Here is an 18675-nt window from a genome sequence, read left to right as displayed (position 1 = left end):
ACTGGCCAGGAAGAGAGGGAGTATTTGGCCTGTTAATTTCCTAGTTAATCATGCAGGACATTTGGTAATTAGCACGCTTGCTGTTCCATCGCACTGGCCAGCCCTGGGCTGGGCCATAATTCACTCTCAATGGTGCAAACAGGTGCCAGGAGCCTCTGCCTCGGGGCTGGCCACCGGGGGTGGCTGCTGGGGGCCGCCGTCTCCTGCCTTCCACCTTGAAAGGCTCAAGTGCTTCATGCATGGAGTGCGGGGGTTGGGGGCAGCAGGGTGGGGGCTCAGTGTGTCCCCGAGAGTCTGTCCGTCCTGGAGGCAGTGAGGCGCCCTGGAAGGCCCACAGGCGTCAGCCCCTGCAGGCCTCGTCCCACTCTCCACAGGAGTCTGGCCAGGCCTCACTCCTTGCACACTCCTGGCCCATAACATGGGTCCTGTGTCTGCCCAGAGGACAGCCACAGGGATGAGGAAGAGCAGGGAGGTTTCTTCAGGCCATTACTGTCAGTGCGTCCAAGAAGGCAGGCATTTCTGAGAGCTCCACCGGGGCCACCTCGCACCAAGGCCACCTCGCTGCAGCAGATCATTGCTGTTTTGAGCCTCTTTCTACTGCAGCCCCCCTCAGTGAGGGAGGTCAGGCCTGGCCTGTGCCCCAAGCCTGAGTGCTGGCTGGGGAGAACCACTGCACCTCCACATGTGAAGCCCTCCCGGCCGTCTGGAGGAGTCACCGCGATGGGAAGGTGAGGATGCGGCTGAGAGCCCAGTGGCTATTGGGAAGGTGAGGACGTGGCTGAGATCCCGGCGGCTATTCACCCAGGGCTAACTGGCACTGTAAGGACACTGCTCCATCACACCACACCTGCTTAGCCGAGGCCAGGGAGCAGTGGGCAGTGGGGTACTAGTCTCCTCTGTGCCCAGCAAGGCCTGGGCATCCCAGGAGGGACCTCGCTAAGCCCCAGCGTATGTTACAAATGGCATCCTCTTGTTTTCTAGGGAAGAGAAATGCTCAGAGCAGCTCTAGGGTTTGCTCAGGGCACTGCCTGCAGGACCAGATCTCAGGACTTAAAAACAAGCCTCCTGTCCTAGTCCCTTTGGCTGCCGTGACAAAGCAGTAGACTCTGGGTGGCTTAAGCCACAGACGTGTATTGTGGTTGCAGGTGGCTGTCTTCCTGCTGTGTCCTCACACAGTTGAAGGGGCGAGGGAGCTCTCTGGGGCCCCTTTTATAAGGTCACTGATCCTACTGGTGAGGGTCCCACCCTCATGACATCCTCACCTCCCAAAGGCCCCACCTCCTGATCCCATCGTGTCAGGGGTTGGGATTTACACCTGTGAACTTGGCAGGGACATGAACATTCGGTCCATTGCACCACCAGACCCTGTGTGCTGTGTCTTTCCCTCTCTGCCTCCCCATGCCCAAATGTCCCTGTGAGGCAGGCAGGACAGACAGGTAAACTGAGGCATAGAGAGCCTGTCACATAGAAAAAGCGCTGGGTTGGAGCAGAAGAGCACACTTGTGGCCTCTGGACCCCAACATGCACCTGTGATGCGTCCGGTTCCAGGGACTCAGAGACCAATAAGGTAGCACCTGCCACAGGGACCTCACGGCCTGCAGGGAGGTGAGTATAAAGACAAGGCCACGCACCCTGAACTCTTGTGCAGAGGTGCTGCAGATGGTTGTGGATTCAGTGACATCCTATGGCCTCTGGTTACAGGTGCTTGGTGAGTGCACGGGGGTAGCTGGATGGATGTTTGCGGGAACCCTGGACAGCAGACTCCAGGGCAGCAGAGCCTTGTCCTAGGCATGTCCCTGCAGAGGGCCTGGCACAGGCACGTGCTCAGCAACCATTTCCTGAGTGGGTGAATGGACAATAATGGGTATTCCCTGGAGCCCTCTAGCTCCGACAGTCCCGGGGTTCGTGGGGCTGAGCCTCTCTGGGCGCAGCTCTTCCCCCACAGCCCCAGGGGAGCCCTGCTCTCTGTGCAGCACCGCCTAGAGCCGAGCTGGGCACTGGGACCAGAAGCTGTCCCAGTGGTCCCAAGACCCACTGCTCCAGCCCCTTCCTCACTTCTGCTCGCCCTTCCGCCGGGCTTTCGCATCGATGGCGGGTGTCTACCGCTCTTTGTAGGACCACCGTGGGGTCCTGGAGCCTTTTGCCCACACATGCCCCGCGGGCTGGAATGTGCATGCCCCTAGTGGGGGTGTGAGCCCAGGCCCTGAGGCTGAGGCCAGGACCACCCTGTACCCCACGGTCCCCTCCCCAACCCAGAGCACTTCCTGCTGCGTGCCCTCCCTGCCACTCCTGCCCCAGCCCGCACGCCTGGTCTTGTCTTTCCAGGTATTGCCTCAATGCATAGCTTGGACTTGAGCTGGAGTCTGACTGTGGGCACGGACCCAACCCCAGGGGTCTGATTTGATGTGTCTACAGGATCCTGCGACGCTGGGGGCCTGGAGAGAGAGTGTAGATGTGTCAGTGCCTCCACTCGCTGCTCAACCTAACCCACGGGAGCTCGGCTCAGTGCCTGGGGCGAGGACTCTGTGGGGGTAGGGGGACAGACAGAACCCAGGCTGGGGTACAGTGGGAGAATGGAACTCAGGCTGTGCCGAGCAGAGATCCTGGCTCCTCGCTCTGGGTTTCATGCCTGCCTCTGCCACCCAGATCCCCCCCAACACACACACACACCTGAGCCCCTGCTGCAGCTTCCTGGCCACCTGCCTGCACTGCCATCCCCCCAGTGAGCAGTCAGGGCCACCCTCTCCAACCTAAGTCAGGTCACGCCATCTGTGCTCCAGACGCACTCCTGATTCACTCAAGCAGAGTGAAACCCACGTCCTGCTGCACCCAGGGGACCTGGCCCATTGCCTCTGACCTCGGTCTATCCCTGTGGCTTCCTCAGCTCCAGCACGCTGGCCTGCGCTGCTCTGTGGTCCCCCAGCTGAGCTCCACCCAGGCCCTGGCACACGTGGCTCCTTCTGCCCGGTGGGCTCCCCAAGGGGCACCTAGCACCGCTCTGTCTCCTCTTCCAGCCTTTCTCAAATGCCACCTTCTCAGAAAGCCACCGTGCCAGCCTTAGTCCATTTGTGCCACATAAGAAAAATACCATAGGCTGAATAATTCACAACCCACAGAGATGGACTGTTCCGGAAGCTGGAAGGCTGACATCCAGGCGTTGGCAGGCTTGGCATCTCTCTGCTTCTAGGTGGCACCGCACGTGGTGGAAGGGACAAACAAGCTCCTCGGCCCCTCCCATCAGGAGTCCCATTCCTGAGGGCGGAGTGCTCCTGACCCAGTCACCTCCTACAGGCCCCACCTCTTAATTCCATCACCTCAGGGCTCCGGTTTCAACACAGGGGTCTCGGGGCCCTGGCTCGCCATGTCCAGCAGGCCCTGCCCTGATTCCCTGTCACTGTTCTCCTTGCCGTTCACATCCGTCTCTCTTTAGCAGGCTGCAGAGACTGAGGGCAGAGGTTTCTCTGCATTCCCAGCACCTAGAGCGGGGCCCAGCACACAGCAGGGCTCAGTGCAGGCTGATGAATGAATGAATGAATGAATGATCACCACCCAGGGTTATTGAAATGGGCCACCCATTTCATCCCTCAATAGGTTCCAGCAAAACTACTGGTGTGAGAACCCCCACTCCCATCCTGCCTCCCCAGCTTCTCTCCTGCCTCCCCTAGCAGCTTTCCCTCAGGCCTCTTCGCTGGAGAGCTCAGAGGCCAGGAGGCCCTGCCTGGAGAGCCCACTGCACGGGGAGTCAGCCCCCGATCTCTCTGGGGACCCCTCCTGAGGCAGAGCAGCTGCCTGAGTTCACACCATCAGGGCCGAGGGGGTCTCCGGAGGCAGCCCACTTCAGCCACAGTAAAAACAACAACGACAGTGAGAGTGGGACACCACCAGAGAGCTCATCCGAAGCCAGCCACAACCGGCTCCCTCCAACCCTCTTTTTGCTCCAACCCAGGCACTGGGGCCTAGAGGAGCAGGGCCCAGGTCAGGGGCTGACTCACTGGGAGCCCTCAGCATCCCCATCTGTAAAACAGGAGGTGGGGGTGGTGCACAGGACGAGAGTGGTCTCCAGGAGTCCACGTTCTGTACTTTGATGAGCTGCGGCCCCCAACCAGTGAGTCTGAGCAGCGAGAGCCTAGCCCTGGGTGGCCCCTTCCAGGGAGTTAACAAAGGGGATTTGGAGGACAAAGGGCTGGGAGGAGCCCCAGCAGCAGGCTTCCAAAATTTATGTGGGGCATTGGGAGAGGAGATGCAACAAAAGCAAAGATCTCACCGTTTTCTGAGTTCCAACTGCAACTTCAGCAAATTTTCCCTTTGAATAATAAAGCTGCCTCCCCAGGCTGCGATAACCAAAGTCACTCACTCTACTGAGCCCAGAATCAAAACCAAGAGCCCCAGCCCTGAGAGGGAACTCGCGAGCTTCTTGCCTGTGTTCTTGGGCCCTTCGTGCAGCTGGCAGCCCTGCTCGTCCCGCCGGCACCAGGGTCTCTGAGGAGCACCTGTCACCCATCACCACTCCCAGTCCCTCAGCGCAGCAGCGAGGGAAGTGAGGAAAATCACCAGGGGCAGAGACGATGGCTGTAACAGAAGTGAACCAGGCGCCAAGGTCAGGAAGGGCTCGAGGTGGGCCTGTGGAGGGCGAGCAGGAGCCGAAGCTGAGCCCTGAGGAAGGGGAGGCAGCAGCGTGGGAAGGCCTGGGGGAGACCAGCTCGTGCCAAGGCCCTGGGGCAGGGAGGAGCTGGTGGAGGCCTCTGTCAGGTCTGACTGAGCAGCACAGAGTCCTAACTTGAATGCCAGCACCAGGACTCCATCAGCCCAGCCAGGGCCAGCGCTCCCCTGCTGGGGTGCATGGCCTCCGGACTCCAGCCTCCTCCACTCAGCTTCTCCATGGTGCCCCACAGGACAGCAGGAGCTTTCTCTCTAGAGCGCACATCTAGTTTGTTGATAAAGCATCATAGAATGTGTTCAGAGTGAATGAATGGCTCCTCTGTGGCCAGCAACATGAGACTGACTCGGGGTACAGCTGGGATGGAAGAGTGAGAGACGGGTGAACACCAAGGAGCTGCAGAGGGTCCCCGGAGGGGTGATGCTCAGTGATTTAGACTTTTTTCCTTGTTCTTCCCTTTATTTCCAAAGTTTTCAACAGAGATGATCTATGATCAAAACCCACGGTGACAAGTGAGAAGGGAAAAGGTGCTGGCCCTTTACTCTGAAGTGAGTGGCGTCCATAAGACAAAAGGCAAAGGCAGCTGTGCACAGCACGGGACTCCAGCTGGCGAGGTCATTCCCCTCCGGGGGCGGAATGAAGCTTCTGCACGGTTTACCAGAACTGAACAAGCAAGTGGTTGACGAGTGGGAGGAGCAGGTTTCTCGCAGATGGAGAGAGAGGCCACAGGTAAGAAGAGAGGAAGGATCCAGGTGGTCATGGATGAGAGTTGGAGAAGCCGGCGTAAATCAACCCCATCTCTACAAAAAATACTAAAATGAGCCAGGTGTGAGCCGAGATCATGCCAGTGCTCTCCAGCCTGGGCCCCAGAGCTAGACTCTGTCTCCAAAAAAAAAAAGAATGAATGAATGGATGGATGCCTTGGGCTCTGGAGCCTGGCTGCCTGTCTTCAGATCCTCCCTCCCATGCTTACATGCTGCATGGCCACAGACAGGTTTCAAAATCTCCTGGCCTCTGTTTCCCCATGTGTGGCCTAAGCTAGGGACAGTTCCCTGCCCCCCACCCCCAAGAGCAGCCGTGCATTGGACACTGGCGGCTGGAGCGCTGCCATCGCAGCCGGGCGGAGGGCACTGCAGTGAAGACCCTCACAGAGGCATGTGTCTCCAGAGTTAGGTTTGCTGGCCAGGAGGCGAGGTGACACGTCTCTCCTGAAAAATGAAAGTTCTTGAAGAGGAAATGTGGTTCAGTGGAAAGAACATGCTCGTTGTCAGCTGGCAAACTGGAGCTCCGCTCCTGGCTCTGTCACCGAAGGGTTGTGTGACCTCAGGCAAGCCCTTCCACCACTGAGGGCCTCAGTTTCCTTATCTGTCACATGGGGTTGCAGGTGACCACCCCAAGGGCTGTGGTTGGGACCAGGGCAAAGCCTCCCTCTCTGCTATGGGGCACAGTGAGGTCTGGGCCCTCCTCTACCCATGCTTCCCTCTGGCATCTCAGGGCTGGGACTGGGAGTGCCAGGTCCCCATGCTCTCTTGCCTCAGATGTACCTGCCCAGCTCTGACCATCCCCAGCCTCATCCTGAGTCCTGCCTCCTCCTTGGTGAAGTCCTCCCTGACTCCCCTCAAGATCAAATCTCACGCAGGCCAAGGATTTCCTGGTGGTGCCTCGAACACCGGGGGTGTCAGCTGGGTCTGAGTCCCCGGCAGGGGGTGTGCTCCAGGAGGACATGGGCCTGCCCAGGAAGGGCTGTGAGACACATGTCTGCTCAATCACTAAATAAGTAAACCGTGAACAGACTCATATGAGCTGAGGCAAATGGCTTCCCCAACCTGGGCCTCAGTTTCTCCACCTGTAACTCAAAGGAAGGGTCTTCTGTTTCTAATACCTCCCCTCCTGGGGTTCTCAGATTCCTGGGAGCCCAGACTCATCCTCATCTTCCCAAGCAGTAGCTTGGGCCCCGCTGTCCTGCTGAGATGGATGGGAGGAAGTGGGTATAGACTGAGGCTGGTGGAGACCCAGGCCCAGCAGGGAGGCCACATCCAGCCCCAGCAGGGAGGCCACATCCAGCCCCCCTTGAGCAAGGCTGGGCTGCAGGCTCAGCCCAGAACTGTAGTCTTAGGACAGCCTGACCAGGACCAGCAGCTCTCCCCACCAGCCCCAGGCAAGACGGGCATCTTCCTGTCACACAGCACCTGAGACTGGACAGTCCCATCAGCCTGTCACTCAACTGAGGGGGCCAGAGAGAGGCGGGGAGCTCCCACTCCAGTCATGCAACAGCTCCTCTCAAATGAAGACAGGGCAGGAGGATCTCCCGGAGGCTCTGCCACACACGGGGAGCTTATAGCAAGTTGAGCAGTATCTCCCGAGACTTCATGTCCACTCAGAACAGCGGAATAGGACCTTATTTGGAAATAAGTTCTTTGCAGATGTAATTGGTTAAGGATCTTGAAGTCATCCTGGATTTAGGGGAGCCCTAAATCCAATGACCGGTGTCCTTATAAATGAAAGGAGAGGAGGATTTGGGCACAGAGACACAGAAAACAAGGCCATGTGAAGGCAGAAGTGGAGATTGGTGTGACGCGGCTACAAGCCACAGGATGCCACGCACTGCCAGAGCCACCAGCACCTAGAAGGCAACGAAGAAAGATCCCCCTCCCGCCTTCAGAGGGGGCTCGGCCCTGCCAGCACTCGGATTTTGGACTTCTGGCCCTAGAACTGGGAGACAACAAGCTCCTGCTGCTTTGGGCCACCCAGTTTGTGGTAACTGTGGCCCATGTTCTACCAATATGTCCTGTTCCAGGCTCTGAGACATCTGGGGAAGGGGAGGACTGACTTTCCTCATTCACAACCAAAGCATCTGCAGCCCAGAGAGATCAGGGCACGTGGCCAAGAGCGTTCAGCACACTTCCTCTATGGCACTGACCCTCCTCTGAGCTCACGGCATCAGGAGGCCAGGGTGCTAGACACACGCCAGCAGAGACACCTATGAGCTGTGTGGCATCAGGCCAGTCCCTGAGCCTCTCTGGGCTGTTTCCTCATTTGTAAAACAGACACCATAGCATTATCTTCTTTGCAGAGGATTAAATGGTCAATACACATTAAGCCCATGGCACAGTGCCATGAATTTCAAGTGCTCTCTGTTCAGGGGGCACAGCTGGTCGCTGGACCCTGGCTCAGGGTTGAGCATGCACCACACCAGCGGCACAGCCCTGTGATCCTGCTCACAGCCCCTTCCGCCCGTCACACCCCCTGGTCCTCAGGTCAGCCTCAGGAGATAGGCCTGGCAGGGCTGTGTCCCATGTTCCGGCTGGAGAAACTGCAGCCCAGGGTGTAGGCGACTCACCTCCAGGACACCGAGCTCCCTCCCACGGTCCCACGCTGCCCCCAGCCATGCCTCCACCTCCCTCCCTTCCCCAGCCCCAGGCTCAGACAGCCTCCCTCCTATTCCTGCCCATCCCCCACACCCAGCACGACCTCCCCAGCCACACTGTCTCGGCCCAGGCCAGAGGCCCCTATCCCTCAATGGCGACACATCCTTCATGGACCGACTCTCTCATGTTCCTGGGAAAGGAACATGAAAGAAGACCCTTCTTCCCACTGGGCGAGGTCCCTGCTGTGTGACCCTGGGCAGGCCACCTAGCCTCTCTAAATTGCATTTTTCTTTTCTGTAAAATGTGGGTGGTAACTGTAACTTCGCAGAGCCGGGGCCCAGGGCCCTCGAGACTGCCCGCGTGCACACCACCGGCTCAGCGCCCAGCCTCATAGGTGCTCAAGAAACGTCATAAATGGATTCTTTGTTCCTTTAAGGCGAGTCAAGGGTGCAGTCTGGAGACAGGATCTCTGCCTTCAGCAATGAGCACAGAAGAGCCACTTAAAAATAGAAAAGTAACAGTTTTATGGTTATTAAAGTAATAAGCATTGACTGCAAAAAACATAAAAAATGAAGACGACACCTGAAGGAATGATGAAATGAAGGAAAATCACTGGCACCGCCCTCCTCTGGAGCTATTACAATGTTGGTAAATAGGTTTTTAAGCATCATATTCTGTATTATTCTTATGCACAGCTAGAGAGCTGGAGCGATGGAGAAAGAGAGAGAGAATTTACAAAGTGGCCCCATTTGGGACGTGCTGCCCGTGGTCTGCCTCACACACGATAATATACACCATGGACATTTTTCCACAGTAATAAACCCGAATCCACACTGTCAGAATGGCTGCCTGGTGTACCTTCTGTGGCTGCTCCATCCTCTCTTCACTACCCTTCTGTCCATGGACAATTTGTTCATTTCCAGCTTTGCACCAGACTGTGGCTAATAATTTACAGAGCCCATCACAGCTGCATCCACAGCCGAAGGCTCCCGTCCAGCTATTTCTTTATGAGGCTTTACCAGAAGAAAATGGCTGGGTCAAAGGGAGCGAGTGTTGTAAACCCTTCCATGGCACGGGCCAAGCTGCCTTCCAGGAATCTGGGGTTGGGGTCAGTGCTGCCCCCGTGCTGGTCCCCACACCACGAGCCCCTGCACCACCACCAGTCACAGCAGACACCATGTCGTTGCTTGAATCTCATGTGAGAGGCAAGGTCCATGGGTGGTCTCCCGGCTGTTTTCAGTTCTTTCTTGGTGATTGACTTGTTCGTGGACTTGGTCCTTTTTCTCTTGGAGTTTGTTCATTTACTGGTATTTGGAGAGCTCGCATTGTGACAGGTACAGGGATGCCTCGGAAGAAAGCCATCCTGAGCTGGAACTGTCCTGGAGGTCACCCTCTCAGAAAGAAGGTGGACAGTAAGCATATACACATGCACTCTAATGCACATGTATGCACACACACACACACGCACACACAAATAAGTAAACTAAGTAATGGAGAGAGAGCAAAGCGCTGTGGGGGGTAATAAGCAGAGGACTGAAACACAACCATGTAACCTGCTTTCTGCTGCAGATTTCAGGCTCCAAGAAGGCAGCCCCCAGGTCCCCCACAGCCCCCACACCCTCCTCCTTTGGTATCTCAGCCTCTGCTCAGGTCCTGTCACCATTCAGTAATGAGAGCTGCCTGAAGGACACAGAGCTGGGAAGTGGTGGGACTGGGGTTGGGACCTGAAGTGGGTTGGTTTGACTTCACAGCACGTGAGTCTACAAGATCCGCATCAGCACCCCAGAACCTCCGATCTGCTGCTGCCTCTGCCACGTACCCACACATGGGACTGCACTCCCCAAACCTTGACAAGCTCAGCTTCTCCCCCACCCAAGATCAGGGCACCAAACAGTGACACTTAACCCTTTATCCAGGGCCCTGGAACTGGGGCCCCAGAAGCAGGCACAGGTTTGCTGACTCCCTGCATGAGGCTGCTCTAAGAGCCTCTTGGAGCTGACAGGGCCTCCCAGGAGCAGGATGCCTGGAAGCAGCCGAAGGCAGGCTGCTCTGCTCTGGACGCTGGGGCCAGAGACAGGCACAGCCAGTAAGGCCTGTTGCAGCTCTCCCCGCACAAGGGTTACCTGGAGCTTCTTAAGCCTTTCTTCTGCCAAGCTCCCACCCTCCCTCGAGCTGGCCTGAGCACCACTTCTTCCCAGGACCTCCCAGGGCTCGGCCTAATGGGCTCTGGGCAGGCACCGCTGCCGAGAACCTCAGCGGCACAACAGAAGCGGGAGCCTCCAACTGCCGGGCTCCCGAGCCAGCCTGGCCCTCATCTCCAAAACCTCAGGGGGAAACTGTCCCATCTAAAAATGGGGACAACCCCTTCATTGTGGAGTTGAGGGCACAATCCAATGAGCCGACAGCATAAAGCACCCGGCATGGAAAGCGGCTTGGATTCTGGAAGGGGAACCTCTGCTCATTCCTCACCCACAGCCTCCTCACCAGACCTCACAGAGGAAACCCACCAGCCAGATTGTCCAAGTTAGGAAACCGTAGCAAAGAGAGGCAAAGAAATTACCAGGAGCAACGCTGCTGAGGACAGAGCCGGGATTTGATCACAGGCCGGAGCCGGAGGGGGCTGTCTGGCAGGAGGCTGCTGGGGGAGCCCCAGAGGACTTGCAGCAGGGATGAGCCCAGGCGCGGGGTGCCTCTGAGGCGTCCTCACTCCGTACGGAGAGAAGGCATCTGGGGTGAAGTGGAGAGTTCTGGGGACCATCCAGTCCTTCATTTCCGCATCTGTAAAACACAGGTCCTCGCCTTCCCCACATCTCTGTGTTGTTGAGTGACTCAGTGGGGTTAATGTTGCTTGGGGACACATGGGGAAAATGTCAGCTGCTGCTATTTTCTCACCTTGCCACTGCGAGCTACTTAGCAGTGAAGGGCTCCTTGGCATGCCTGCTGTTGACAAGCGGGGAGAGAGAGGGCAGAGACGCAAGCCCTGCGACAGGATGATCCCGGGCAATGCCACCTGCAAGGCAGCTCTCCTCCAGGGTCTCACAGTGAAACATGCAGAGGCCCCCCTGCCAGGCCTCTCTGAACGGGGCATTCTGGCTTCCCAGGGAGCTGCTGGGTGACAAGGAAAGATGGCAGCAGCCCTCAGCGGCCTTTGCTAGAATCTGATTTTAGAAACATGGATGAGTGGGTTCCCATCTGCCCTTTTTAAGAAGCCCTGAGGGACAACCACGTGCCAGCCTCATGCACCAGTGAAAACACAGCCGGCCAGAGACAGGAGGGTGACGTGTGGGTAGCAGGCATCTACCTTACACCAGGCACTGCATCACCTCGATAGCCCTGTGACACCGTCCCTAGGATTTTCACTTTGAAAATGGAGAAACTGAAGTTTAAACATGTGCAGACACTCACCCGATTGTCATAAATCGTTGAGCCAGGACCTGAGTCCAGGGCTGCCTGTGCTGTGGGGCCCAGGTGTCCCCTCTCCTTAGGGTCCAGATGGGGCTAGTGATCATGGTGCCCCACCCCTGCTAGGACATGGGCCCCGTACAGGCCAATCAGACATCTTCCCCGAGGCCTCACACAAGGACACTGAGACGAAGGAGCCTCACTTTCTTTCCAGTGTGGACGTGGAGCCTAAGACACATTCTTCAAATGGGCTGGCTCGAGTTCCTTGGATCAGCTCCATCTTCCATTATCTATGAGAAAGGTTTGAGGACAATCTTACACTGTCCATGAGGGGATCTTGGTGCTCATTACGTGCTGAACATTGTGCAACATTCAATGGGGAAAAGGGAAGAAAACAAAAGGAGCTGAGGGAAGGGAGAAGAGCTCCATCCACATTTGGCTGCACGATGTCCAAAGAAAGAACATTCACGTGGATGGGTCAGTGATGGGGGCAGGGGTGCAGGTCAGGCAGGGGACCCAAGGCTGATCTCCAGCCAACCTGTCCTGAACTACAGGCTCCCCCAACCTCTGCAGGAGCATGCTTATGTAGAGTGCAGAGAAGGGTCTGTGATTACCAGCTCCTGCTGGGCCAAGTCTATGGTGTCAGACAGACTAGAGTTTGAATCCTGGCTCCACTACAAGCTACCTGCGTGAGGTCAGGCAAGTTACTTAGCCTTTCTGAGTTTGAGTTTTTTCATATGAAAAAAATAAAATAATATTTTCTCTCTTATAGGGTTATAGTGAAAAGAAAATGAAATAATGTAAATACAATGATTAGCATAGCATCTAGTGCATAATAAGTGCTCAACAAATGTTTGTTGTTATCATTGTTATGTGTTGATGTTGTGAGGATGGTGATGGTGATGGTGATGGTGATGATGATGATGGTGGTAATGGTGATGATGGTGGTGGTGATGGTGGTGATGATGATGGTGATAATGGTGATGGTGATGGAAATGCTGATGATGGTGACCGTGGTGATGGTGATGATGGTGATGGCGATGATGGTGATGTTGATGGTGATAATGGTGATGGTGGTGATGATTGTGATGGTGATGATGGTGGCGATGATGATGATGGTGATGATGATGGTGATGATGATGCTGATGATAGTGATGGTGATTATGGTGATGGTGATGGTGATGTTGCCTTAAGGAAAAGCACACTTCTTCTCCCAGATCCCCTGAGATGTGGGATCCAGTTCAAGTTTAGGAAGAGGAGGAAAGTGGGTGTCTCTCACCTGTCTACTTTTGGTAATATCTTTCAAGATCATGTTGTTCCCTTTCCTGTGACACTACAGTTCCTACATCTGAGAGGAAGAATTGTCTGGGAGGCTTCTGAAGATTAGTGATTTGTGTTGGGCTGGGCTGAAATTAGTTCAGTCAAGTTCCTTCTCATTGCAACAAGTTGGTGCACCAGGAAAATGGTAGCCAGTAGCTGCAATCCCCGATTAGAAGCCCAGCATAGTGAAAGGTCTAGCCAGGGGGCACTGCTGGAGCCACCAGGCTTCATAACCCACACCTTCTGCGTAATCCACTTCCTTGAGGAGACAGAGAGCCTGCCACTGCTACCCACCCCTCAGAGTCAGACACAAAAGAAGGGCCCACCTCAGACCTGTGGATGAGCAAACAGATGAGTGGGTGGGGAAGGGGCGATGAGGCAGAAAGGCTTTCTTCTCTAGGAGAAGAACTCCAGGTTATCTCAGGACTCACCAGCCAGGTCTTTGGGGCCTCTCTCTGAGACGAGCACCTTATTTTCTCTGGAGGTGGAAGGAAGGTCTCTGGCTCACTTACAGCCCCCAGGCTGTATGTGTGGCCCTGAATTCTCCTGCCCCCATCTCTGCTGATGTGGGGCTGTCTCTCTGTCTCACTAAGTCATATCTTTATGAATCTATGCCTTGATTTCACTCTCTCTCTCTCTCTGGAAATCTCCCTCTCAATATGTGAGGTAGTGGCTCTAATTTCTATATTCCTTATTGTTGTCTCTTCCATTTTCTTCTCTCTCTTCTGGCATCTTCTTCCTGAGTGTCCTTTGCCACATCTTCCTTTCCCTCTCCTATTAGGGTAGTCTCAGAGAAGGCCAAGTGGAAAGCCAAGATTTTCATCCCTGCCAGGTGGTAACAAAGCCCATGCAGGGTGTCAGTGGAGAAGGTTTCAATAAGATCCAGAGTCTCATAATCTCTGAAATGTCCAAGTTTCAATCAAAAAGTACTCATCATACCAAGAACCAGGACGATCTCAAATTAAATGATAAATAACAGGCAGTAGATGCCAATACTGAGTTGACAAAGATGTTAGAATCGTCTGACAGAGTTTAAAGCGGACATCATACAATGCTTCAGTGAACAATTACACACAAGTAACAAATGAAAAAATAAAAAGTATCAGCAGAGAAATAGAAAGTTTCAGCAAAGAAGAAGGAGATATAAAGAAGAATCAAATTAAAATTTTAGAACTGAAAAATTCAATAACTGAAATTTTAACATTCCATGGATGGGCTCAACGGCAGGTCAGGAGGATAGAGAGAAGAGTCCAAAACTTAAGGACAGAACAATAGTGCAACAGAAGGACAGTATACTGAAAAAAATTAATAGAGCCTTGGGTACCTGTGGACAATAACAAAAGATTTCTGTCATCAGAGTTCTGGAAGGAGAGGAGAAAGAGAGAGGTGCTGAAAAATTGTACTTGAAGAAATAATGACTAAAACGTCTCAAGATGTAAACATACAGATTCAAGGTGTATAAGCCCCAAACAGGATGATCGGAAAAAAAAAAAGAAATTCATATAAAGACACACCATAGTCAAACTTCTGAAAACTAAAGGGAGAGAGAAACAAATATTGAAAGCAGCCAGAGAAGAGTGACATCTTATCTACAGGGGAAAAACAAGTAGAATGACAGTGAATTTTTCATCAGAAATCATGGTTGTTGGATGGAAGTGACACATTTTTCAAATACTGAAAGAAGAAAAAAACCATCAACTCAGAATCATATATCCAGCAAAACATCCTTCAAGAATGAAAAGGAAATCAAAACACTCTCAGGTGAAGAATGTCACCAGCAGACATATGCTTAAAAAATGGCTAAAGGAGATTCTCTAAGCAGAAAGGAAACAGTAAAAGAAGAAATTGTGAGACAAGGAAAGAAGAAGGAACAACAGAAAGACTGAAAATATGGCTAAATACAATAAATTTGCCTTCTCTTACATTTTCTAAATCATATTTGAAAGTTGAAGCAAATATTATAACACTGTGTCTGAGGTTCGAAATTTATGTACAGAAAATATTTTAAACTATCATAGTACAAATAGGGGAAGGTAAAGCAGCATATAAGGAGGTACGTTTTCCTCACTTTACTTGAGCTGATAATACAATGACACCGGTATACTGTGATCGTATGTGTGTATAATGTAATACCTAGAGTAACCACTCAAATACAGAGATACACTCAAAAACATTACAAATAGATGAAACATGACATTTTTAATAATACTATTCAAGTAACCAACAGCAAGACAGAGGAAAGAGAGAAACCAAAAAAAAGAATAAACATAAAACAAAAATAAAATGGTAGTCCTAACATATCAATAATTACATTAAATGTAAATTAGCTAAATACATCAGTTAAAAGACAGGATAACAGAGTGGATTAAACAACATGCCCCAGTCATAAACTGCCCACAAGAAATTTGCTTTCAATATGGTAATATAGACAGTTTGAAAAGCATGGGAAATGATATACTATGCAAACAGTTATAAGAAAGCAGGATTGTTTATGTTAATGTCAGATGAAATAGGCCAAGGGAAAGAATGAGAGGAAGAGACAAAGAGAGGGACAATATATAATGATAAAAGTGTCGATCCGCTGAGAAGACCTAGCAATCGTAAATGCACATGCGCCAAACAACAGAGGTGCAAAATATATGAAGCAAAACCTGATAAAACCGAAAGGAAAAATAGGCAAATCTACAATTACAGTTGCAGACTTCTGTACTCCTGTGATAGTAATAGAGCAACTAGACAAAAAATCAGCAAGGATATAGAAAAACTGAACAATGCCATCAACCAACAGGATCTAATCAACAATGGGTAGAACACTCCGCCCAAAAACAATGGAATACACATTCTCTTTGAGTGCCCACAGAACATATACCAACACAGAACCTGCCTCAGGCCATAAAACAAACCTCAACAAATTAAAAATAATTGAAATCATAGAGTGTGTTCTCCAACAAAATGGAATCCAACTAGAAATAAATGGCAGAAAGACAACACGAAAATCTCCAGACACTTGGAAATAACTTAATCCATGAGTCAAAGAGCAAGCCTGAAGGGAAGTTTTTAAAACTACATTGAACCAAATAAAAATGAAAATACAACACATCAAAATTTGTGGGACACAGTTGAAGCAGTGCTTAGGGGAAATTTTACAGTACTAAATACTTACCTTAGAAAACAAGAAACATCCCAAATCAATAGTCTAAGCTCCTGCTTCAAAAACTAGAAAAAGAAGAGTAAATAAACCCAAAGCAAACAGGAGGAAGGAAAGAATAAAGGTAAGATGTGAAGTCAATAAAGTTGAAAACAGAAAAACAACAGAGAAAATCAATGAAACAAAAAGCTAGTTATTTGAAATGATCAATAAAATTGACAGATCCCTAACATGGTGGACGAGAGTTTCCTCCTCTTCACTCCCCTCCCACTGTTTCAGAGGGAAGCCCATCTCCAGGTGGCACCTCCAGTCTTCAGAGCAACCCGGAGTCCACTGCCTCGTTGAATCATGTAGGAAAACTCTAGGTTGTGGACAAGATGCCGATGGCCACTTCAGCGCTGAGGAAATAAGGGCTAGAGGGAGCTGTGTGCTTTGCTTAAGATCACCCAGCGGTAAGGAGCAGGGTGATGATCAGAACACAGCCTGGCCAACCCTTGGCCCCACTCTCACTCTCAGTAGACGTGGCGTGGCTGGGGCGAGGTATCAGGGCCTTGTGTTTTTCTCAGATTGGAGTCCCTTCCTCTGCTCAGGCTGGAATGGGACTCGAAACTGGGCAGAGACCCCCAGAATTGACCAGGGAAGGCCTGAAGATGATTCTCAGCTGTATCATCCCCCTGTGTGCATTCAGCTGGCACTGACTAAGGTCCAGGTACACTTTGAGGGTCTGTGACCCATCCCCAGAGCCAGCAGATGCCATCAGTGTGGCCTGGCAGGGAAACTGGGGGTTCATTGCATGACCCCTGGAGTTGTACTGTTTGGGTTCAAAATGCAGACCTTCCTCTTGCTGGCTGTGGGACCTTGAGCAACCTACTTAGCCTCCCTGCACTTTAATTTCCTCATCTGTAAAATGAGAATCGTAGTTCCTGCCTCAGAGGTTATTGTGAGAATAAACTGGCGAAGGGACAAGTGCCTGCATTTCGGTAAGTTCTGTGAATGCGTTCACCACCATTATCCAGAAGTGCCTGGCCCTGTGCCTTCCAAGACTGAGCACTGTGCAGAAACTGAGGCAGAAAGCCACCATGTATGAAAGGAGGCCCTTCCGACCCCCCAGGTCCAGTCTGCAGGAAACGCCTGGCCTGGCCAGGTGAGCTTGCCCTGCATGTGCCTACCTTCCCTCCTGTTCCTGGTTTTGCATTTTCCTTTGATGAACAGTTTTAATAGAGGCCTGTTGCCTGCTTCGCAGCAAACACCCAAAGGAGGGGAGGGATGTGCACACAAAGTCCCGTGAAGGAGCTGGTTTCGGCTCTCCCCTCTCCTTCCCCTGGGGTCTGGATGCTCCCTCCGAGGGTCTAGACTCTGCAGTCCGGGCCTGCTGCATAGGGGAACCCACAGACTCACTTGGGGCTGGCTCCAGCACCCACTTAAGGTGCAGGCCTCCTCCCACCTGATCAACCCTACCAGGACCATCGGCTGGAGTTGGGGAAGGGATTAGCCAGAGAGGAAACCACGCTGAAGACACCACTTTCTCCCCTGATGCCCAGGAAACCTCCCAGACCACAATTCTCCCAGAGCTGCCTGGGCTGCGGGGACCTGAGAACTGCACAGCTCTTCGGGGGCAGACTCAACACAGTGACCAGAGTGACCCCCAGGGGCATGCATGCCCTAGTTTCCAGCCTCAGATCGATGCCTGATCCCACTCCTACCCCTCAGAGAGTCACACTGAGCCCTGATCCTGACCCATGCTGAGCCCTGATTCTGATCACATGTTGAGCCCTGATCCTGGTCACACTGAGCCCTGATCCTGACCCATGCTGAACCCTGATCCTGACCCATGCTAAGCCCTGATTCTGGTTACATGCTGAGCCCTTATCCTGGTTACAGGCTAAGTCCTGACCTTGAACATGGGCTGAACCTTGACTCTAATCCTAGACTAGGCCCTGACCCCAGCTATAAACATAAATCCTAACTGCCAGCCACTTGAAGAACAGGTACTCAGGGCAGAGGGAGGGGATATGGATGGCCAGGTGCAGCCCTTGTCCTGTTGGCCACAGGCTGAGATGCTGGATCCACGTGCTGGAGCCTCAGAGCCACTCACTGAAGGCAGGTTGTCCCCTTGCCCCTGTGCTCGTGGCTCACCCCGTCAGTCGTGGCTGCTCTCCCGGGACCCTGAGGAGGGGGCTGAGCTCTCCATCCCTGCTCCTCATGGGGGCACCTGTGTGAAAAGTTCAGGAAAAGCTCTTAAAGGAAAATGGTTTTCCGCTGTTGGGCCTGAAATAGCATTCCCTTTCCCCGAGTTAATAACCGGTTGCTGGAGATACAGTGCTATTTTAGAAATAAGTGTCTATTAGCACCGGTCACCTTCCAGCGTGACTCAAGGTCATCCCTTCACCTCTGCCCCTTGGAAGTCGGTGTCTGGATGCTGAGGGCTGAGGTGGAGAAGCCCCTTAGGGTCTTAGGCTGTCCGCGGTCACTGAGGCCCACCTCGGGGTTAGAGGGAGGCAGAGTGGGACCCGCAGCCACATCTGGCCCCTTCTTTGGGTTCCTCGGCTGCCGTGCACTGCCGCAGCTCACACGATGCCGACAGCAAAGACGAGGATCCTGCAAACACCAGCCAGATGCTGAAGCACAAACAAAGCTAGCGTGGACTCATTCAGTCCTGCCAGAAAGAGGCCATGGGTGGAGGAACGTGACCACCCATACTATCTGCCAGGCCTGGGCAAGGCCACGCAGTTGGCGGTGGCCCTGAGTCCCGGTGCTACGATGAGTCCCCTGTGCAATAT

The sequence above is a fragment of the Homo sapiens genome, chromosome 8 (genome assembly GCF_000001405.40).
Source record: "Homo sapiens chromosome 8, GRCh38.p14 Primary Assembly".
Lineage (NCBI taxonomy): Eukaryota > Metazoa > Chordata > Mammalia > Primates > Hominidae > Homo > Homo sapiens.
This window is presented reverse-complemented; position numbering follows the sequence as displayed.